We start from the raw sequence: 20,515 nt of genomic DNA on the forward strand, positions 1-20,515 counted from the left end.
ATATCTTGCATCTCACCCAGGATCTTGAGAAACACGCTTTGGAAGCCAGCAGCCCTATGGGGGCAGCCACACCATGTGAGCATCGGCCACACCCTTGGGTGGCCCTGGAACCAGACCATCCTCCAGCCCCCGTTGGTCTGGAAACCAGCAACAGCCCCATCACCTGGGAGCTGGTTAGAAAAATGCAAAATCCACTTCACTCCAGACCTGCTGAATCAGAACCTGCATTTTGGCCACATCCCTGGTGGTTCAAGCTCACATTTAAGTTCGAGAAGCTCTGCTCTAGGCTTTTCCTGAATGTGGCGCATCAGTGATTCCTCCCGGCCCCAAGGCCTCTGTGCCCAACCAGGACTGACTTACCCCGGCCTTGCACAGCACCCGCAGGACTCTCCTTGGTGTTGATGTGGGCACTGGCTGACTGCCACAGCACTCTATGCCTGCTCTCTGACTCTGTCACGCGTCTGCTTTTCCTCCTGGGATAATGTGGTGCTGGTGTTGATGAAAAGAGTCAAACTGTAAAATATTTTTAGAGATTTATTCTGAGCCAAGTATGAGTGACTACGGCCTATGACACAGCCCTCAGGGGGTTCTGAGAACATGTGCCCAAGGGTACAGCTTGCTTTTCTACATTTTAAGGAGGCATGAGACATCAATCAAACACATTTAAGAAATACATTGTTTTGGTCTAGAAAGGCGGGACGATTCAAAGGTGGGGGAGGGTTCTTCCAGGCTATAGGTAAATTTAGACACTTTCTGGTTGATAATTGTTTGAATTTGTCTAAAGACCTGGGATTAAACAGAAAGGAATGTCTGTAAGATAAGAGGTTGTGGAGACCAAAGTTTTACCATGCAGATGAAGCTTTTAGCTAGCAGGCTTCAGAGAGAATAAGTTGCAAAATGTTTTTTATCAGCCTTAAAGTCTGTGTCACTGTTGGTGCTGGAGAGGTTTGATGAGGCATGTTCGAACCCCACTTCCATTATGGCCTGAAACAGTCTCTCAGGTTAAGTTTTAAGAGCCCTGACTGAGGAGGAAGTTCATTCAGATGGTTGTGTCGGGAGGGCGGCTTAGAATTTTACCTTTGGTTACACTGGGGTGGCAGTGGTGCAGGACGGGGCAGGTTTGCTCCCCTCCAGGCCAAGACAAGTGCTGGCTGCAGAAAGGTTTTATCTGCTGGTATTTGAAAAGCTTTCCCTGATGCAACGGGCCCAGGCAAATCCTGGGAGTTCTGCTGTCTGCCAGGGAGAAAAGCTGAAGGGAGGAAGGGTCTGATCCCATCTCTGGTATCATGGTCCTAAGAAATTGCTGGAAATGCTTTCCTCATTAACAGGTACTGCCCAACAAGAATAAGTCTTCCCTCCCAGGTCCTCTGTTGACTGCTGAGGATGGGCCTGGGGCCCTGAGAACAAAGGAAGGGAACTAGTTAATATGAAGTGGGACAGGGAGTTCAATCTTCATGATCACTTGGATAATGAAGAAAGGCTAACTAGCAGGGATAATGACAGCTGGACTTTCTCAAGGGCTCTTTCTCCAGCTTAGTCATTGCCTGAAGTGTAACTGCCCGATGGGTTCTTTCTGCCCGCTACACAGACAAAGTCAATTGACTGAAACCATGGCATTGCAGTAAAGGAAGAGTTTAATTGCTGCGAGGCCAGCCACGCCCTAAGGGAGAGGGAGTTACCACTCAAATTAATCTCCCGGAAAGCTCAGAGGCTGGGATTTTCTTTTTCTCTCTCTTTTTTTTTTTTTTTTATTGAGATGAAGTCTCACTTTGTTGCCCAGGCTGGAGTGTAGTGGCACAATCTCAGCTCACTACAACCTCTGCCTCCCAGGTTCAAGTGATTCTCCTACCTCAGCCTCCTGAGCAGCTAGGATTACAGGCATGCACCACCACGCCTGGCTAAGTTTTGTATTTTTTTAGTACAGATAGTGTTTCACCAAGTTGGTCAGGTTGGTCTTGAACTCCTGATCTCAAGCAAGCCACCCACCTTGGCCTCCCAAAGTGCTGGGATTACAGGCGTCAGCCACTGCACCTGGCTGAGGTTAGGGATTTTCAAAGATAGTTTGGTGGGCAGTGGACTAGGGAATGGGTGCTATTGATTGGTTCTGGAATGCCATCATAAGGGTATGGAAAACGGTACTGGTGCTTGACAGAGCAGGAGCATCACCATCTTGAGCAAACACCACCATCCTAAGTTCCACTTGATTAAAAAACCCCTAAATCCAGCCCCAAAACATCAGCCTAATGGCTAATGTCAGCATAACCAGAAACATTCCAACCCTAAGATAAATCCCTCTCTGACCAGAAACATGCCAACCCCAAGACAGCCTCCCCTGTGACCAGAGACATTCCAACCCCACAATAAACTTTCCTTCACATAGAAACATTCCGAATCTATGATAAGTCCCCTCTTTCAAAACCCTTAAATATCCTTAGGTCTGTAAGAGAGAAGAGCTGTCTCACCTAACTCGGCCAGAAGCCACTTTCAGGTTTGTTTTCTCTAAAATAAACCTGTCCTTAACTGTCAAGCCACATTTTGTGTTTCTTACTTCTTTCTTTTTTTTTTTTTTGAGACAGAGCCTTGCTCTGTCGCCCAGGCTGGAGTGCAGTGGTGCAATCTTGGCTCACTGCAAGCTCCGCCTCCCGGGTTCTCGCCATTCTCCTGCCTCAGCCTCCCAAGTAGCTGGGACTACAGGCACCCACCACCATGCCTGGCTAATTTTTTGTATTTTTAGTAGAGATGGGGTTTCACCGTGTTAGCCAGGATGGTCTCAATCTCCTGACCTTGTGATCTTCCCGCCTCAGCCTCCCAAAGTGCTGGAATTACAGGCGTGAGCCACCACACCTGGCCTCTTTCTTCTTTCTTTAAGTCTTACATTTGGTGCCAAAACCCGGGATGGGTGTTGGCGGCAGAGGCTCTCTTGCAACCCAAGAGGCAGTGGGCAGCAGCGGCCCTCATCCTGAATTAACTCCTGGATCCTGAGAGCCTCTGGACAGCCGCCCTGTCTTTTCTCTTGTTTCACTTTTCAAGCGATTTATGTGAGGAGGACAATTAATCTGAAGGGGACTGTGAGACTCGGGCCAGGGCTACTCTCCGGTGGGCTCTCAAAACCCTCAGGTCTCAGGAATCCACCTCCAACTGCCCGCAACAGGTATTTCGCTCTCTAGCACTTGCTCCCTCTTCCTTCCTCTTCTCTCTCTCTCTCTTCCTCGTGTGCCTCCAGTCCAGGAGGCCCTTTGCCAATTCCAACTGGAACATCCAACATTTGGCTTATGGGGGAACCTAAAGCCAAAGCATTTAGTTTTTTATTACAACACAGCCTGGCCCCAGTGCAAATGAGATAATGACAGTTGATGGCCTGAAAATGGCACCTTTGACTTTCAAATTCTCAGGGACCTTAACAACTTTACAACCAGGAATAGCAAAAGGCAAGAGATTCCCTGTATTCAGGCTTTCTTCTGTCTTAGATCCCGACCCTCCCTATGCCAAGCTTGCACCCTTCATGAAATCCCTCTTCTTAATGAAAATCCTCCCTGGGTTTTTCCTTCCTCTGGAACCCCTCCTCTGAAACCCCTTTTGACCCTGCAGATAAAACCCCTCCATATTCTCAACTCTCTGCATCCACTCCTCACCCACCCGAACCCTACACCCAGCTGGCCCCTCCTGCTCCCAAGCCTTTACCACCAAACCCCCTCCCTCCTCCTTCTCCACCTATTACCTGTTTGAAAACTACTCCAGCCCCTTGGGTGGCTGCAGTTTGCCAACCACCCCTGGTGGTGGTTCGGCATCTGGCCAACTGCCACTCTCCCCCACATTCTTCACCCGTTACCCACTCAAAAACTACTTCAACTGGGTGCAGTGGCTCACGCCTGTAATCCCAGCACTTTGGGAGGTCAAAGTGGGTGGATCACGAGGTCAGGAGATTGAGACCATCCTGGCTAACACGGTGAAATCCCGTCTCTACTAAAAATACAAAAAAATTAGCCAGGCGTGGTGGCGGGTGCCTGTAGTCCCAGCTACTCAGGAGGCTGAGGCAGGAGAATTGCCTCAACCCAGGAGGTGGAGGTTGCAGTGAGCCGAGATCGCGCCACTGCACTCCAGCCTGGGTGATAGAGCAAGACTCCGTCTCAAAAACAACAACAACAACAACAGCAAAAGCTACTTCAGCCAGTCAAGCCACTCCTGCCAGTCTTCCTCTCTGGAAAGTGGTTGGGATTAAAGGCATCCCTTGCGCTCATGTCTTTTTCTCCATCTCTGATTTGTCACAAATCAAACAGCATCTGGGATCTTTCTCTGAAAACTCCTCTCATTATCGCAAGAAATTCCTGCACATAATTCAATCCTTTAATTTAACTTGGCATGACATTCATATAATTCTAACCTCCACCCTCACTCCTGACGAAAAAGAGTACATCTGGTGTTCAGCTGAAACACACGCAGATAAACTCCATAATCAAGCCCCTATACAAAATCCAGTGGCTAATGATGCAGTTCCCCATAGAGACCCAAACTGAACTTACCAACAGGGAGATGCTGGCATCAGATAAAGAGACCACACAATTACCTGTCTCCTTGTGGGCATGGACAAAAATGCCCATAAGGCAGCTAATTATGAAAAACTTAGAGAAATTACACAAGAGCCCCAGGAAAATCCTACCCTTTTCTTATCACACCTCATTGAAGCTATGCTAAAACATACCAATTTGGACCCAGAATCTAGAGAAGGTCAAACTTTTCACCACCTTCAATTTATTTCCCAATCTGCCCCAGATATCTAGAAAAAATTATAAAAATTAGAGGAGGGTCCCCAGACATCTCAGTGGGATCTCCTAAATACAGCCTTCTGTGTCTTTAACAACAGAGACAAGGAACAAAAAATTCAAAAAGGCAAGCGTCTCTGTTTAAAATACCAGATGCTTGCCTCTGCTGTCCAAAAGTCAATTACACAAAAGTCTCCCAACAACCCAAAAGGAAACTCCCCCACCTCTCTGGGAGTCTGTTTCTGATGTGGCAACCCTGGACGCTGGCCAAAGGCTTGGCCTAACCCCTGGCTGCCCACCAAACTGTGCCCAACTTGCAGTCTTTGGGAACACTGGAAAATGGACTGCCCCCAATGGGAACACCTTCCCCGTTTGGGTGCCACTCATAATGAAGCCCCCTGACCATCACAGGAGGAAATCTCTTCACAGCTGGCACTGCCCATGGAGGAATGAGGGTCCCTGGGATTCTTCACCCCCACATCTAGTGAGTCCATGGAACCCAGGGTAATTTGGACAGTATCCATTAATATTACTTCCTTTCTTTTGGATACTGGGGCGAGCCTATCAGTATTAACTGAATATGAAGGCCCATTAGAACATTCATCCGTTTCTGTTGGCGTGAGGGGCATATAAGAAACAAAACACTGCCACTATACTGCTCATTTCAGGGAGTCACCCTCACTCTTTTTTGGTCATTCCTCACTGTCCCACTCCTTTATTAAGAAGGGACATTCTACACAAACTAGGGGGAATCATTCATTTATTGGCCCTAAACCAAAGCCACTCTTATATATTATTATGTCAAGAACAGACCCCTCCTCAGACATTCAACATCAAACAGACTTAAATCCCAAATTCCTCAGCCAAGTAAACCCCATAGTATGGAACACTGACTTCTGCATAATAGCTACCCACCATTCTCCAATCCAAATTTCACTGAAGAATCCTAAGCACTATATAGTGGTCCTACAATATCCCCTCAATCCTGAATGGATTACGGGGACTCAAGCCCATCATCTCTCAACTTTTGGCTGCCAATATTTTAATCCCCACCCATTCTTCCCACAATAATCCTATTCTCCCAATTAAAAAACAGGATGGCTCCTATAGACTGGATCAGGATTTGCGACAAATCAACTCCGCTTTTGTTCCTGTTTATCCTGTTGTCCCCAACCCCTATAACCTCCTGTCATGAATTCCTCCCAACACTAGCAACTTCTCTGTAATAAGCCTTAAAGATGCCTTTTTTACTATCCCTCTACATACCTCCTCTCAAAATCTTTTTGCTCTCACTTGGACTGATCCTGACACAGGCTGCTCCCAACAACTCACCTGACTGTCCTCCCCCAGGGGTTTAGGGACAGCCCTCACTATTTCTGTCAGGCACTTCAATTAGACCTCTCCCAACTACCTCTACAACCTAGCATTTTGCTTCAATATGTGGACAATTTACTCCTTTGCAGCCATTCCCTAAAATATTGTATTCAACACACCACCAAGCTTTTAAATTTTTTGGCTGAATGGGTACTAGGAATCCAAAAGAAAGGCCCAATTAACATCTCCGAAAGTTTCATACCTAGGATTAATCATAACTCCGAATATCCAGGATATTCTGTCAGCACAAAAGCAACGTGTTCAACAAATCCCATTTCCTAAAATAAGAAGGGACTTACTTTCCTTCCTCGGATTAGTGGGCTATTTCTGAATATGGATAGCAAATTTTGCCATTATTGCTAAACTCCTTTATTAACACACTAAAGGAAATCTTGACCAACTACTTACTCCCATCCCAGACCTTCTATCATGCTTTCTTGCACCTAAAACATGCCTTATTACAGGACCCCGCTTTAGGCCTTCCAAATCCGCTAAGACCTTTTCATCTATATTTACATAGTTCTCATAATCAGGCCCTTAGACTTCTAGCCCAACCCATGGGAAACTCCCTCCAACCAGTGGCATATTTTTCCAAACAACTGGACCCCGTTTATAAAAGCTGGCCTCTTTGCTTAAAATTTTTGGCCACAGCTTCAATAATTACACACAAAAGCTCACGTTCTATGAACCTCTTCAAGTATTTCCTTCTCACAGTCTACAAGATATGGTCAGCCATAAGGTGCTCATCTCCATCTCATCCTCTCATGTGCAAGCCCTATATTCAACTCTCTCAACCCTCTATCTCTCTTCATGATGCCCCCTGTTAATCCTACCACTCTTACCTTCAATGCCAATTTTAAACCCTGACCAACACTCATGCTCTAATCTAATTGAAAGTTCTCTCACCATGTTTTACCACCTTACTTCCACTCACATAAAAGGAGTCCCAGATTGGTTTATAGATGGGAGCGCATCAAAAAACCCTCCCCTCAAAGCAGGATATGCCATCATTGGAGGGTATCATGATAATATCCACTTTCTCCCACCTAGAAAAGTCACAGAGGCTGCTCCCTTGCCTTTGGGCACACCCTCCCGACAAGCAGAACTAGTTGCCCTAATAAGAGCACTAGCTCTAGCAAAAACACACACACTTTAATATATACACCGATTCTAAATATGCCTATAACATTATTCATTCCAGTGCTCAAATTTGGAGTGAGTGGGGCTATCTCACGGCTCAGGGAACCCCTATCATTAATGAAAAACCCATCCATCATCTATTAACGGCAGTTCTACTTCCAGAAAAGGTTGCAGTTATCCATTGCAACGTACATCAATCGGACAAAAGCCACATTTCTTTAGGGAACAATGAGGCTGACTTGGGTAAAACATGCCTCAACCAATCACCCAATTCCCCAATATCTATTTCCCCTCATACAACATATCCCCTCTTTTTATCCAGAACACCAAACACAACAACTAACCACAGTGGGGGCACAATTCAAACCCTACATACTGGTTCATACAAAACAAATTAGTCCTACCTGACCCTGAATAAACAACTCTTCTACGGGACATTCACAACCTCTTCCACACTAGCCATTTCCCTCTACACCATTTCTTAAGTTTCCATATACACTTAACCCCAGATATAAAGGAAGAGTTAAAAGCCATTTCCCATCAATGCTCTATTTGCCAAAAAGCTTCACCCCACTCCAATACCCCCTTCTTTCCCAACCCACCAAGCCAGAGGACACCTTCCAAAACAGGATTGGCAAATTGATTTTACCCATATGCCCCCAGTAAAAAGGGTTCAATTTCTTTTAGTTCTGGTTGATACCTTTTCGGGATGGGTTGAGGCCTTTCCCACAACAAACAAACGAGCTTCTACTGTCGCCTCCAAATTAATAACAGAAATCATCCCCAGGTTCAGGGTGCCTCTTTCTTTTCAATCTGATAATGGTCCTGAATCCATTTCTCAAATTACTCAAACACTTGCAGGAGCCCTACAAATCACCTGGAAGCTATGCATCCCCTATCAACCTCAGTCTTCAGGAAAGGTTGAGAAAATGAACGGCATTTTAAAAAACACCCTCACCAGGTACTCACTCCAGACACATAAAGACTGGGTTACCCTTTTGCCTTTAGCCCTTCCAAAAATTTGGGCGCTCCCACGTAAGCCTCTAATGCTCAGACCCTTTGTACTCATGTATAGGAGACCACTCGCCCCTTTTGCTGCACCTCAGGGTCAAGCCCCACCTCTACAAACCCCTCTCGTTTCCCCTCTTCTGCATACCATCCGCCATTTCATTTGGGAATACGCCGACAAATACTTGCCACAACCCATCGCCAACTCCTTTAATCCCTTCCTACAGCCAGGAGACTGGGTTCTAGTAAAAGATCTCAGCCCTACCCCCAATCCCCACCTCACACCTAAATGGAAGGGACCTTACCAGATCATCGTTACTACACCCACAGCAGCAAAACTCCAGGGACTCCCCAGCTGGTTTCATCATTTTTCTCTCAAGAAAACAGACTTCCCTTCACCACATACCCAAACAACCAAATCTAAAACCCCTTCAGCCTTCTGTTACATCTCCACAGGACCAACTTCCCTTCGCCTCACCCAAATCCTGGAGGAAAAGGAGGAGGAGTGCACATAAGCCGCTTATGTCTCTTTGTCTCCCAAACTTTCATCACTTCCTAACCAACCTTACTACAGACCATCAGTGGTATGCTTATGAAACTCCCACTGTACATCCTGATCAGCTCCTCACTATTCTATGGGACCTATGGCTTCAAGGAGCTTTCCAGGACTTTACTCTTACCCAAATAACTTTTTTCTCTTTTTGCTTGTTTCTTTCAATATAAATTCCCTAATCACATCAACCTCACCAATACAACCACTCCTTACTGCTCAAACTAGAACGCTCTATAAACCTTACACAATCTCTCTTGTGGCAAGCTAACTGTTCCTTTTTTTCGGAGACCTGGATGTGCTTACCGCTGTCTTCCTCAGCTTACACAGCCCTTCCTGCACCCCTTCATGACCTTTTAACAGGAAACATAACCCTAATCTATCAACTCCAAAAAGGAGCTTCGTTTTTGGAAAAAGCTGACATGCTGGTCGGCAATTATCCCATTTCCAGGGCAGATCAGGCCAACAAATTATTTCAAACCGATTACAACTCCCTAGAACACCTTAAGCCCCAAGGCCCTCCCATTGAAGGGCCCATAACTAAACACACGCCCCTTTTACAACAAGCCTCAATTTGCTTTTCAGCCTCTGGGGGAAGTTTCCCTGTAGGGTTCTTAACTTCTAACTAATGCAGCCACACTATCATTGTTAAGCACCCCTCTGACCATCACACTCACCCGGTTGACTACCAAGTATTGCCTGAAGCGAACGGAGCATTCCTGCAACGGCTCCTTTTACTGCCCCTCCCCCTGGCCTAACCTCTGCTTCCCCTAGTGCCCACATTTTTCCGTGGCTCAGTATCAGTGGCGCAACATCTGACCACATTAGATGTGTAAAAAAAACTCCTCCAGATGGGCACGGTGGCTCACGCCTGTATTCCCAGCACTTTGGGAGGCTGAGGTGGGCGGATCACCTGAGATTGGGAGTTCAAGACCAGTCTGACCAACATGGAGAAACCCCGTCTCTACTAAAATACAAAATTAGCCGGGCGTGATGGCATGTGCCTGTAATCCCAGCTACTCTGGAGGCTGAGACAGGAGAATCGCTTGAACCCAGGAGGCAGAGGTTGCGGTGAGCCGAGATCGCGCCATTGCCCTCCAGTCTGGGCAACAAGAGGGAAACTCTGTCTGAAAAAACAAAAAACCCTCCTCCTATACTCCTCCTATATCTCTACTATAGTAGGTGTGTCTCCTTGGCCTCCTCCTTGTCCACCTGGAGTAATGAACCACAGGAAAGGAAAAATATCCCATCTTTAATTCACTTATTTTCTTTCCATATCTCTGCCTATATTTACGACAAAGCCTTATTCTTTTTGTGTGGCACCAACACATATCTTTTTCTCCCCACCAACTGGACTGGAACCTGTACCCTAGTTTTTCTGTCTCCCACCATTGGCTTAGTTCCTCCTAATCAGCCTTTATCCATCCCATCCGTCCAGTATGTTAGAAAAAGGAGGGCCATCCAAGTCATTCCTTTAATGGCCACCTTAGGTATAACCTCTGGGACTGGGTTGGGAGCAGGAGGATTACCCACCTCCTTAACATACTTTAAAGCTCTGTCAACAGACCTGCAGGATTCATTAGAAGATATGGCCCAAAGCCTTATATGAGTCCAAGACCAATTAGACTCCTTGGCTGAAGTAGTCCTCCAAAATAGACAAGGGCTAAATCTTATAACGGCTGAAAACTGGAGCCTCTGCCTCTCACTGGGTGAAGAATGTTGCTTCTGTCTCAACCAATAGGGCCTAGTAAGAGATGCTGCTAAAAAAACTTAAAGAAAGGACTAAAAAGCTAAGAGAATACCAAGACAACCAAGTAAATTCTTGGTTTAAACACAAAATCCTAACATGGGTCATCCCATTCCTGGGCCCTCTCCTAATAATATGCCTAGGACTAATGTTCTTACCCTGCTTAATGAACCATTTTCAAAGCTTTTTAACCAACAGGATCATGGCCATCTGACAACCAACTACCCAAAAACATCTACAATGGAGTTACTCCTGTAATTAATCCGAAACCAAAGAACTCTCCGCCCTCTGCCCCCCAGCCCTCAGCAGGAAGTAGCCAGAAAGAACACGCCGCCCCTCATCCTTTTTATAACTATAGGGACTGGATTGACAGAGCAGGAACATTGCCATCTTGAACAAACACCGCCATCCTACGTTCCCGTTGATGGATGAAAAACCGCCTAAATCCAGCCCCAGAACATCAGCCTAATGGCCAATATTAGCATAACTGGAAACATTCCAATGCTAAGATAAACCCCTCTCTGACCAGAAACATGCCAACCCCAAGACAGCCTCCCCTCTGACCAGAGACATTCTAACCCCGCAATAAATTTTCCCTCACATAGAAACATTCTGAACCTACAATAAGCTCACCCACCTTCCAAAAAACCCTTAAATATCCTTAGTCTGTCAGAGAGAAGGGCTCTCTGACCTAACTCAGCCGGAAGCCCCTCTCAGGTTTGTTTTCTCTAAAATAAACCTGTCCTTAACTGTCAAGCCACATTTTGTGTTTCTTTCTTGTTTCTTTAAGTCTTACAGTGCTGAGTCCTCCTCTGGGTGGGGCCACAGGATGGGTTGAGTCATGAGTCCAGGTAGAGTTAGCCATCATCAGAAATACAAGTCTGAGACATCTCAAAAAGCAAATCTTAGGTTCTACAATAGTGATGTTACTTACGGGAGTAATTGGGGAGGTTATAAGTCTTGTGACCTCTGGAACAATGGCTGGTAGTCATTTACCTATGCCTACATCTTAGCAGAATTCAGGCCCCTCTCATAATCCTAACCTTGTGGACTTTCATTAGTTTTACAAAGGTGGTTTAGTTTTGAGAAGGGCTATTATCATCCTTGCTTTAAGGTTAAACTCTAAACTAAATTTCTCCCAAAGTTAGCTTGGCCCATACTCAGGAATGACCAAGGACAGCCTGGAGCTTAGAAGCAAGACAGAATCAACAATGTTGGATTTCTCTCACTGTCATAATTTTTGCAAAGGCAGCTTTAGAAGCATTAGATTTCATTTAAGCCTCAATATCACCCCATTTTAGATGAACCTGTGGCTGAGTGAGGTCAACATTTTCTCAGAGTAATACAAGGATAAATAATGGGCCAGGTACAGCAGCTCATGCCTGTAATCCTAGCACTTTGGGAGGCTGAGGCAGGTGGATCACCTGAGGTCAGGAGTTCAAGACCAGCCTGGCCAACATGGCAAAACCCCATCTCTACTAAAAATACAAAAATTAGCTGGGCATGGTAGCATGTGCCTGTAGTCTCAGTTACATGGAAGGCTGGGGCAGGAGAATCGCTTGAACCCAGAAGGTGAAGGTTGCAGTAGGCCAAGATCACACCATTGCACTCCATCCTGGGCAACAGAGCAAGACTCCGTCTCCAAAAAAAATAATAATAATAAATAAATAAAAGATGGAGTCCACTTCTCGGCCTTGTGGCCAAGATCAAGTATAATAAACAATGGAGCCATAGTTGGAACTCAGTCTCTCTCTTTCCAGAGCCTCGTCGTTCACAAACCTGGTCGTCGGGACCCACCTGCTTCTCGTTTCCTTGGAGAATCAAAGCCATCCCCTCAGCTTGTCTACTGTAAGATGACTTGATAAACACACGGCTGCCTTCATCAATATCACTTCACTATGCCCAGGAGATTCTTGTCCTGCAAGACAACTGCTGCAAATAACTTTATGGTTCACTCCAGGAACTTCCTGGAAAGATTCATCAGCTCTTCAATAGAAAGCATCCAATGATAGCTTAGACTCAAAACTCATTCAACTAGCCACCAGCAAATCCTCATCATGCTGTGCTCACATGTGTGAAAGGATTACATCACGACTTGCTAATCCCAAGAAGGCTGAAAGACTCATCTGAAACTATATGTTTTGATCTTCAAAAATATGGACTAGGCGTGGTGGTTCACGCCTGTAATCCCAGCATTTTGGGAGGCAGAGGCAGGTGGATCACAAGGTCAGGAGTTCAAGACCAGCCTGGCCAACATGGCTAAACCCTGTCTCTACTAAAAATACAAAAATTAAATTAGCCAGGTGTGGTGGCGCATGCCTGTACTCCCAGCTGCTAGGGAGGCTGAGGCAGGAGAATTGCTTGAACCTGGGAGTTGGAGATCGCGATGAGCCGAGATCGTGCCACTGTACTCCAGCCTGGGTGACAGAGCAAGACTCCGTCTCAAAAAAAAAAAAAAAAAAAAAGAATAAATACCCCAATGTTGTTCTCTCCTACTCTGAGACCCTGCTAGTGAAACTGCCACTGCAAAATTATGACTGAGACGGTGAAAGAGATCTGACCTAACCAACTCCATCTTCCTTCTGACCTCCAAGCTGTTCTTGTTCATTCCTGGGCATGGGCTGAACTAATCTGGGGAGGAACTTAGTTTATAGTTTAGAAAAAAGAAGATAGCAGCCCTTTTCTCAAGGTAGATCCCCTTCTTGTTAGCCAAAAGATTAGAAAGTATGGTTTAGCAGTCATGCAGCTGAGGATTCAAGATTCTGACCCTCCCCAAATTGCTCCTAGGCATAACATCACTATTGTAAAACCTAAGGTCAGTGCCTGAGATATTTTGCAGGCCCTGCACTTGATGGATCAGCTGGCACCAAATCGATAAACTGGCCCATCTCATCTTGTGGCCCTCACCCAGGAACTGACTCAGCACAAGAGGACAGCTTCAACTCCCTATGATTTAATCTCTGACCCAGCCAATCAGCACTCCCGACTCACTGGCCCCTCCCCACCCACCAAATTATCTTTAAAAACTCGATCCCCAAATGCTCTGGGAGACCGATTGGAATAATAATAAAACTCTGGTCTCCCACACAGCTGGCTCTGTGTGAATCGCTCTTTCTCTGTTGCAATTCCCCTGTCTTGATAAATCGGCTCTGTCTAGGCAGCGGGCAAGGTGAACCCACTGGGCGGTTACACTAGGGCCCTGCAATAGGAGTGCCTTTCACTTCCCTGGTAAGCACCAGCTTTGTCCTGTGTACAGGCAGTGCCAACTCCATGGGCCTGTGACCCGTGCAGTTTCCAGGATCCTGCCCGCAGAAGGGCAACTTCATATCTGGCCTGGCACAGGGTAAGCACTCAGGAAACGCCAGCTATTAGCTAGTGACAACGTCCTGACCCCACCACATCTGGCAAATCCTTTTCCTCGTGGAGCCTGGATTCTGGACTCTCCTCCCACAGGTGAGTAATTGTTACTAGACACGCATGCTTCATTCAGAAAGTGGTCCACCTTGCCCCCAAAGCTTCCCCTGCTGGAGCTTTTCCTATGTGCAAGGCCTAAGCCTCAGCTGCATGCTGGGCTGACCCTTGGATACAGCCTGACTCTGTGCCAGGAGCCTGGCAGGCTCTGGGGAAAATGCCTGGTAGAGTGGTCCCTGGAACGTATGGTTTCTGCAGAGACTGTGGCATCCCAAAGACCCGCTTAGAAGTCTATGGGAGCAGAAGGAGGTGACCCTGTGGGGTGTGAGCTGCATATAGGCAGAAGCAGGAGGTCAGGCAAGAGGGAACGGTGTGGAGTGGTGTGGAGCAGTGTGGAACACGGAGCCTGGATTCTGAATGCATGCTGCATTTGCTGGGGTGAGGAAGGCGAAGAGAACTCCGGAGAAGAGGTCAGGGAAGAGGTGAAAAAAGGTCACTGAGGGGAGACAGATGGAAAGGGAAAGGCGCATGGCAGTTGATGAGTGGAGGGTCACAGGAGAGGGCCTCAAGGGGATGCTTCCATTTTCTCCCAGGTAAGCACATAGCATCAAGTTTAGAGATGCAAAGACAAAGGCAGGAGAGAATAGTTAACAAACCTCAGGGTGGTCGCGTCGAAGTAGCAGGACCAGGCCTGCTATTTTAATATTACTTAAGTTTGTGTATGTTGTACCTTAATAACCAAATTCAAGATGCCACTTCTAGGGGCTATTCAATGCAGTTTGTGTTGTTGTTTTGTTTGTTTTTTGAGACTTGCTCTGTCACCCAGGCTGGAGTGCAGTGACGTGATCTCGGCTCACTTCGATCTCTGCCTCCCGGGTTCAAGCCATTCTCCTCAATGCAGTTTTAACTGCACAAAATCCAGACAGTGGAAGAAAGTTTAGGAGCTTTTGGCAGCAAAATTCCCAAGGCGGAGCAGTTTCAAGAAAACTATGACCGGAGGTGGGGCTGCATGGCCAGTGCAGATCTGCAAGTCACGCAGCAAGGCAGCCAGCTCCAGTAGATGCGTTTGGAAGGCTGCTCCCTTCCAAGAAGAGACCCTGTGTCCCAGCAGTCCCTGACCACCAGGAGGCCTGCAGATGCAGCTGCGGCGGGTCACCCTGTGTGTGATACAACCATGCATGAAGGGTGAAGGGGTCAGCAGCTCAGCCCTGGAGCATCTCTCTTAATCAAGTTCAGCCCCAAGTCATGGGTGCTTGGAACTTGGACCTGTTGACCCTCATCGGCTCTATCTAGGCAGCAGGCAAGGTGAACCCACTGGGCGGTTACACTAGGGTCCTGCTATAGGAGTGCCTTTCATTCCCCTGGTAAGCACCAACTTTGTGGACAAAGCCCAGGAATCTGTATTCTAAAACCCTCTCCCTATCTCTCCACCCCCATGATCTTTATTAGGTCAACTCAGGGGAAGCTGGCTATGCCAACAGGGCGGCTGCCTCTTTAGCTAATTTGCCAAGAGAGAAGGGCAGAGCTGTCTTCTCCAGGTCTCAGCCTCATGGTAGGCTCTGGAACCACAGCAACACAGGCCAATGCGAGCCACCTGTCCTGCAACCGCCCCCTCCCCACCCTGCACAACACATCAGGAGGCAATCACTTTACCAAACACATAGGAGAAAAATAATTTATTTATTTAATTTAAAACAGCAAGACTTCAGCTTCCACCCAGTCAGGGCTTGCATTACAATTTTGCAGGTGCAAAAACTCACACTTTTGATGCCACAACTAGAAGTTTGTAAAAACTATTTTTCTTGTCGTGGACACGTGAAGAGTTCTGTTTGCACCCTCAGCCTGGGCCAAATAATCATCTTTATTTAAAAACAAAACAGAACAAACAAACCAAAAAACCCTCAAAAGCACAAAGAGGCAGAAAGCGGCTGGTAAACCTGGTTAAAAGACCAAAGTTCAGAAAGTGCATGGGAGAGGGACGCTGAGCTGCGGACACCGTTCCGGCTGCAGTACGTGTTATGGCTGAGGTTACACTTGGGTGACTCAGGGATGCAGGCAGATGAACATTAACCACACTAACAGAGGAGAAAGAAGCCCACTGGGGCTGTGCAAAGTGTCCAAGGAGCACAGCCCCTTTTGCCCTGATCAGATGTAACAGCCCCTCGCTTGAGATCTGACTGGGCAACATGGCAAAACCTTGTCTCTACAAAAAGTCAAAATTTAGCCAGGCCTGTGGTCCCAGCTTCTCAGGGAGCTGAGGTGGGAGGATCGCTTGAGCCTGGGAGGTGGAGGCTGCAGTGAGCCATGATTGCATCACTGCACTCCAGACTGGGTATGATGCTCCAGACAGCAAAACCCTGCCTCACAAAAATAAATAAACTAAAAAGAAGTAACAGCCCCTCCTGGACTTGTTTTATTTTTTGAGATGGAGTCTTGCTCTGTCACCCAGGCTGGAGTGCAGTGGTGCAGTCTCGGCTCACTGCAACCTCTGCCTTCTGGGTTCAAGCAATTCTCCTGCCTCAGCCTCCTGAGTAGCTGGCACTACAGGCACACGAAACCACATCCAACTATTTTTTTTTTTTTTGTATATTTAGTAGAAACAGGGTTTCACCATGTTGGCCAGGCTGGTCTCAAACTCCTGACCTCAGGTGATCTGCCCACCTTGGTCTCCCAAAGTGCTGGGATTACAGGCGTGAGCCACTGCGCCTGGCCCCCTCCTGGACTTTTAGGATGTGACTTCCTTCCCATCCAGCCTTTCTGTCTGAGCACTACCCACCCAGCTAGACTGACTTGGTAACTGGATCTAAGAAGGAGGCGATATTGCTGTTTTCGAGGTCGATGGGCCAGGGGCCTGGGCTAAGGCACTTAGACAAGCCCCTGCCCTGCCCACCTGGTCACCACCATTCACAGTGATCACTCATCTGTGGCAAGAGGTGGGCAGCGGAGGAAGCTGACTAGAGATACCTGATGTATAACTTTTTGGAGGTTTTTACAAAAGCAGATACAGTGGCCAGTGGCATCAAAGAAATGGAATGAGAACTTGAGCCCAGGCACCCGGAGCAGGTATTTTCTGAGCCCTCAGCTCCCTCTACAGGCCTTTCCTGACCACAGCCAGTCCATCTGGGGAGCCATGTCTCAGCTCTGGCTTGGGTACAGCAGGGAGGGCTCCAGAGGCCCCTGCTGAGCAGGGTTGATCCTAACACTATTCCTCTGTGGCCTATATTGTCTTTTCTCTTTTACCTGTTAATCATGTTCTCTTTTGCAGCAAGCAAATTCCTGAATTTTCGCTCCCTTCTAGAAGCTCAAGTGAGGGTCTTTACCAGAGACATACCCAGAGATTTGCTGTAACGTCTTCAGGGGAATCCAGAATTCACTTACAGAGGCTATTTCTGCCAAGTGGCTTTCCCTGGAGCAGCCCAGAGCTCTCTTTCAATCCTAAGGGGATGTCTGTCTCACTAATTTCCATCAAGAAATCTGTTTTCTTGGACAGGCACAGTGGCTCATGCCTGCAATCGAAGCATTTTGGGAGGCTGAGGTGGGTGGATCACCTGAGGTCAGGAGTTCGAGACCAGCCTGGCCAACATGGTGAAAACCCGTCTCTACTGAAAATACAAAAAATTAGCCGAGCATGGTGGCGCATGCCTGTAATCCCAGCAGCTTGGGATTGGGAAGCAGGAGAATCGCTTGAACCTGGGAGGCGGTGGTTGCAGTGAGTCAAAATTGCACCACTGCACTCCAGCCTGGGCAATAGAGTGAGACTCCATCTCAAAAAAAAAAAAAAAAAAAAAGAAAGCGACAAAAAGAAATCCATTTTCACAGGAAACCAAAAATGAGCATTTTGGACTCAGTCTGCTAAATGATTATTCCTTTCCTGATACAGATTTTGGTTTTGAGAGTCAAACAGGGATCGGCAGCACAGCGTGACTTCGGTTTTGATTCAGAACCATTTTACTAGGCTCAGAAAATCATGCTTTGTCGAGTTCTGATGGATTCCAAGGGAAATCACCTATCAGGTAAAGCTGTACTTTCTCTCACCAAGACCCTGGAGGTAGCATTTCCACTTCCATTCTTTGCCGATGGCTCCTGTGACTGAACACAGAAGCTGTTTTCTGAAATAAGACGAAAGCGTTTGTGGAAGACCCACAGAATAAAAATAGAGATACAGGTGCTTACTTTCAATTCTTTTCTTTTAAATGTAAATAATCGCTCCATGCTCCATGCCGCCACTTACCTCAGCTGAATACAAAACAGCTGAATCCTTTTGAATCCTTTGTTTTTTTCTTTTTTTGAGACAGGGTCCTGCTGTTGCCCAGGCTGGAGTGGCAGTGGTGCCATCCCAGTTCAATGAAGCCTCAAATCCCTGGGCTCAAGGGATCCTCCCGTCTCAGCCTCCTGAGTAGTAGGGACTACAGGCACGCACCACCACATCAGCTCCGGGCGACAGAATGAGGCTCCTTTTTTAAAAAAAAAAAAAAAAAAAAACTGACTCTGAAGCTTAAAACCTTCACCTTTAGGAAGAAATCGTATTTGTTTGTTTGAGACCGAGTTTCACTCTTGTTGCCCAGGCTGGAGTGCAATGGTGTGGTCTTGGCTCACCGCAACCTCCGCCTCCCAGGTTCAAGAGATTCTCCTGCCTCAGCCTCCCAAAGACCTGGGATTACAGACGTGCATCACCATGCCTGGCTAATTTTTGTATTTTTAGTAGAGACAGGGTTTCACCATGTTGGCCAGGCTGGTCTTGAACTCCTGACCTCAGGTGATCTGCCTGCCTTGGCCTCCCAAAGTGCTAGGGTTACAGGTGTGAGCCACTGTGCCCGGCCTGAGGAATCGTATTTGGATTACTCATCTCTCCGGCCACTTTACTTACAAAAAACTAAACTAAGAAGTAAATAAGCCAGAACCCCTCCCTACTCATCCCCTTTGGTCTCCCCAAGAAGAGGAGGATTCTAAGAAAGGAGCTGGAGAGACAGTGGGGTCTTCGGGGGTTCCCTGAGACGCCTCTTCCTGCCCTTGTTCCAGCTTTGGAATTGGAAGGAGGGAACCTGTGTCTGAAGTGATTGACAGGTGGGGACAGGAGTGTGGATTCTGGCCTGTGCTTGACACTCAAACCCAAGCTACGGCAAGGGTTAGCAGCCCATGGAGGGAGAGGCCAGGAGGCCCGGGGAGACTGCTGTCCCTGAGCAGCTGCGCCGGGCTGTGCTTGCCCCTGGTGGTCACCATGCAACCTCAGGGGAACCTTCAACCTGGTGAATGGCAACTGGTTCCTCTGTTGAGCAAAGTCTCCAAGGAAAGCCGGGTTCTCCAGAGAATCTTAACACCCTGACCAGCCGGGAATCTGCTCCATGATGTGTGGATGGGGACACATCTCTGAGGGCCCCTGACAGCTTATTTAATCACACAGAGGATAGGTGCACAGATGTGGGTCCCTCAGATTGTAAACAGTGCTGTGTGGTCCTCAGGACATCAAGGTCCACTGGGTGGGGGCACTGTGGCCACAGCTGTGGGCCACCGGCTTCCCGAATCTCACTGCTACCCTTATGCAGATGAACGCCCACCCGTGGGCCAGGACGCTGGTACCGGTGGAACTTGCTGCCTGAGGATCTAGGAGGTAGAAGAAGCTGAGTTGGCAGCTGCTCTCCCAATGGAGCCGAGAGCATCAATAGCGGGGGCTTCTGGTGCAGCAGACATGCACTTCTGCCCCTGCAGCAGGGACTCACAGAAGTGCCTACCCCCAGGAAGGCAGCACCTATGCACAGAACTAGAAAGGACAAAAGCTCAGGTGCTTGGAAGTTCCCCTGGGGTCCCTTGGGATTCCTGAGATTCTCCTGGCTTGGAAGGCGCGGGAGCCTTGGGAGTGCCAGCCGGGCTCTTGGTGGGAGGCTGAGAAGAGCAGCAGCAGCAACAGAGAGAGAAGAGCCGAGTTCGGACGGCGCGGGTGCAGAGGACGAACATGATGCAGTTGGCACCTCCCTGAAACGTGTTCCCGATACCCTGTCGGGAGAAAAGGAGCTGTGAGCATGGGGCTGGAGTTGGTCTCAGAAACACACGCGCTGTTGCAATTAAGAGAAACGGCTAGGCTGGGTGCGGTGGCTCACACCTGTAATCCCAGCCCTTTGGGAGGCTGAGGTGGGCGGATCACTTGAGGTCAGGAGTTGAAGATCAGCCTGGCCAACAAGGTGAAACCCTGTCTCTACTGAAAATACAAAAATTAGCTGGGCATGGTGGTGGGCGCCTGTAGTCCCAGCGACACGGAGGCTGAGGCAGGAGAATCGCTTGAACCCAGGAGGCGGAAGTTGCAGTGAGCCGAGATCCCACCACTGCACTCCAACCTGGGTGACAAAGCCAGACTCTGTCCCCGCACCCCCCCCCAAAAAAGAGAAATGGCTGAGAAACACACACACACACACACACACACACACACACACATGCATACACACATGCATACATGCACACACATGGGGTAGCTGGGAAGTGCTGTGTACCCCAGAACCTCCCCCCATCCTCCCCGCCATGGCTGATCTGGGA

The 20,515-nt window shown here is 47.8% G+C and overlaps 2 protein-coding genes across 11 annotated transcripts in view, besides 1 other annotated feature; both read right to left on the reverse strand.

The window, feature by feature from the left end:
- The window catches only part of SLC2A5 (solute carrier family 2 member 5), a 59,090-nt gene extending 49,548 nt beyond the window's left edge, over positions 1–9,542 (reverse strand). For 2 of the 7 annotated variants that reach the window (XM_047428623.1, XM_047428588.1), the window contains exons 1-2: positions 3,719–3,798; positions 361–513 (exon numbers count right to left, since the gene is read on the reverse strand). The gene's annotated coding sequence lies outside the window, so the exon portion shown is untranslated. The other 5 variants (XM_047428615.1, XM_047428614.1, XM_047428606.1 and 2 more) reach the window with 5 other exon arrangements.
- GPR157 (G protein-coupled receptor 157) overlaps positions 15,652–20,515 on the reverse strand; it is a 28,798-nt gene continuing 23,934 nt past the window's right edge. For 3 of the 4 annotated variants that reach the window (XM_005263497.6, XM_005263496.6, NM_024980.5), the window contains one exon: positions 15,652–19,981. In XM_005263497.6, coding sequence (XP_005263554.1) covers positions 19,766–19,981 — 216 coding nt within the window. In that variant the 3' untranslated portion in view covers positions 15,652–19,765. The remainder of the gene's footprint in view (positions 19,982–20,515) is intronic. The other variant, XR_007063977.1, reaches the window with a different exon arrangement.
- Positions 19,446–20,422: an enhancer, noted in NCBI's record as "H3K4me1 hESC enhancer chr1:9164158-9165134 (GRCh37/hg19 assembly coordinates)". NCBI's record gives its function as "activates a minimal SCP1, AML or CMV promoter by ChIP-STARR-seq in naive H9 embryonic stem cells {active_cell/tissue: H9 hESC(naive)}" and the evidence as "EXISTENCE:reporter gene assay evidence [ECO:0000049][PMID:30033119]".

Source organism: Homo sapiens, chromosome 1 (assembly GCF_000001405.40).
Source record: "Homo sapiens chromosome 1, GRCh38.p14 Primary Assembly".
In the NCBI taxonomy this organism is placed as follows: Eukaryota; Metazoa; Chordata; class Mammalia; order Primates; family Hominidae; genus Homo; species Homo sapiens.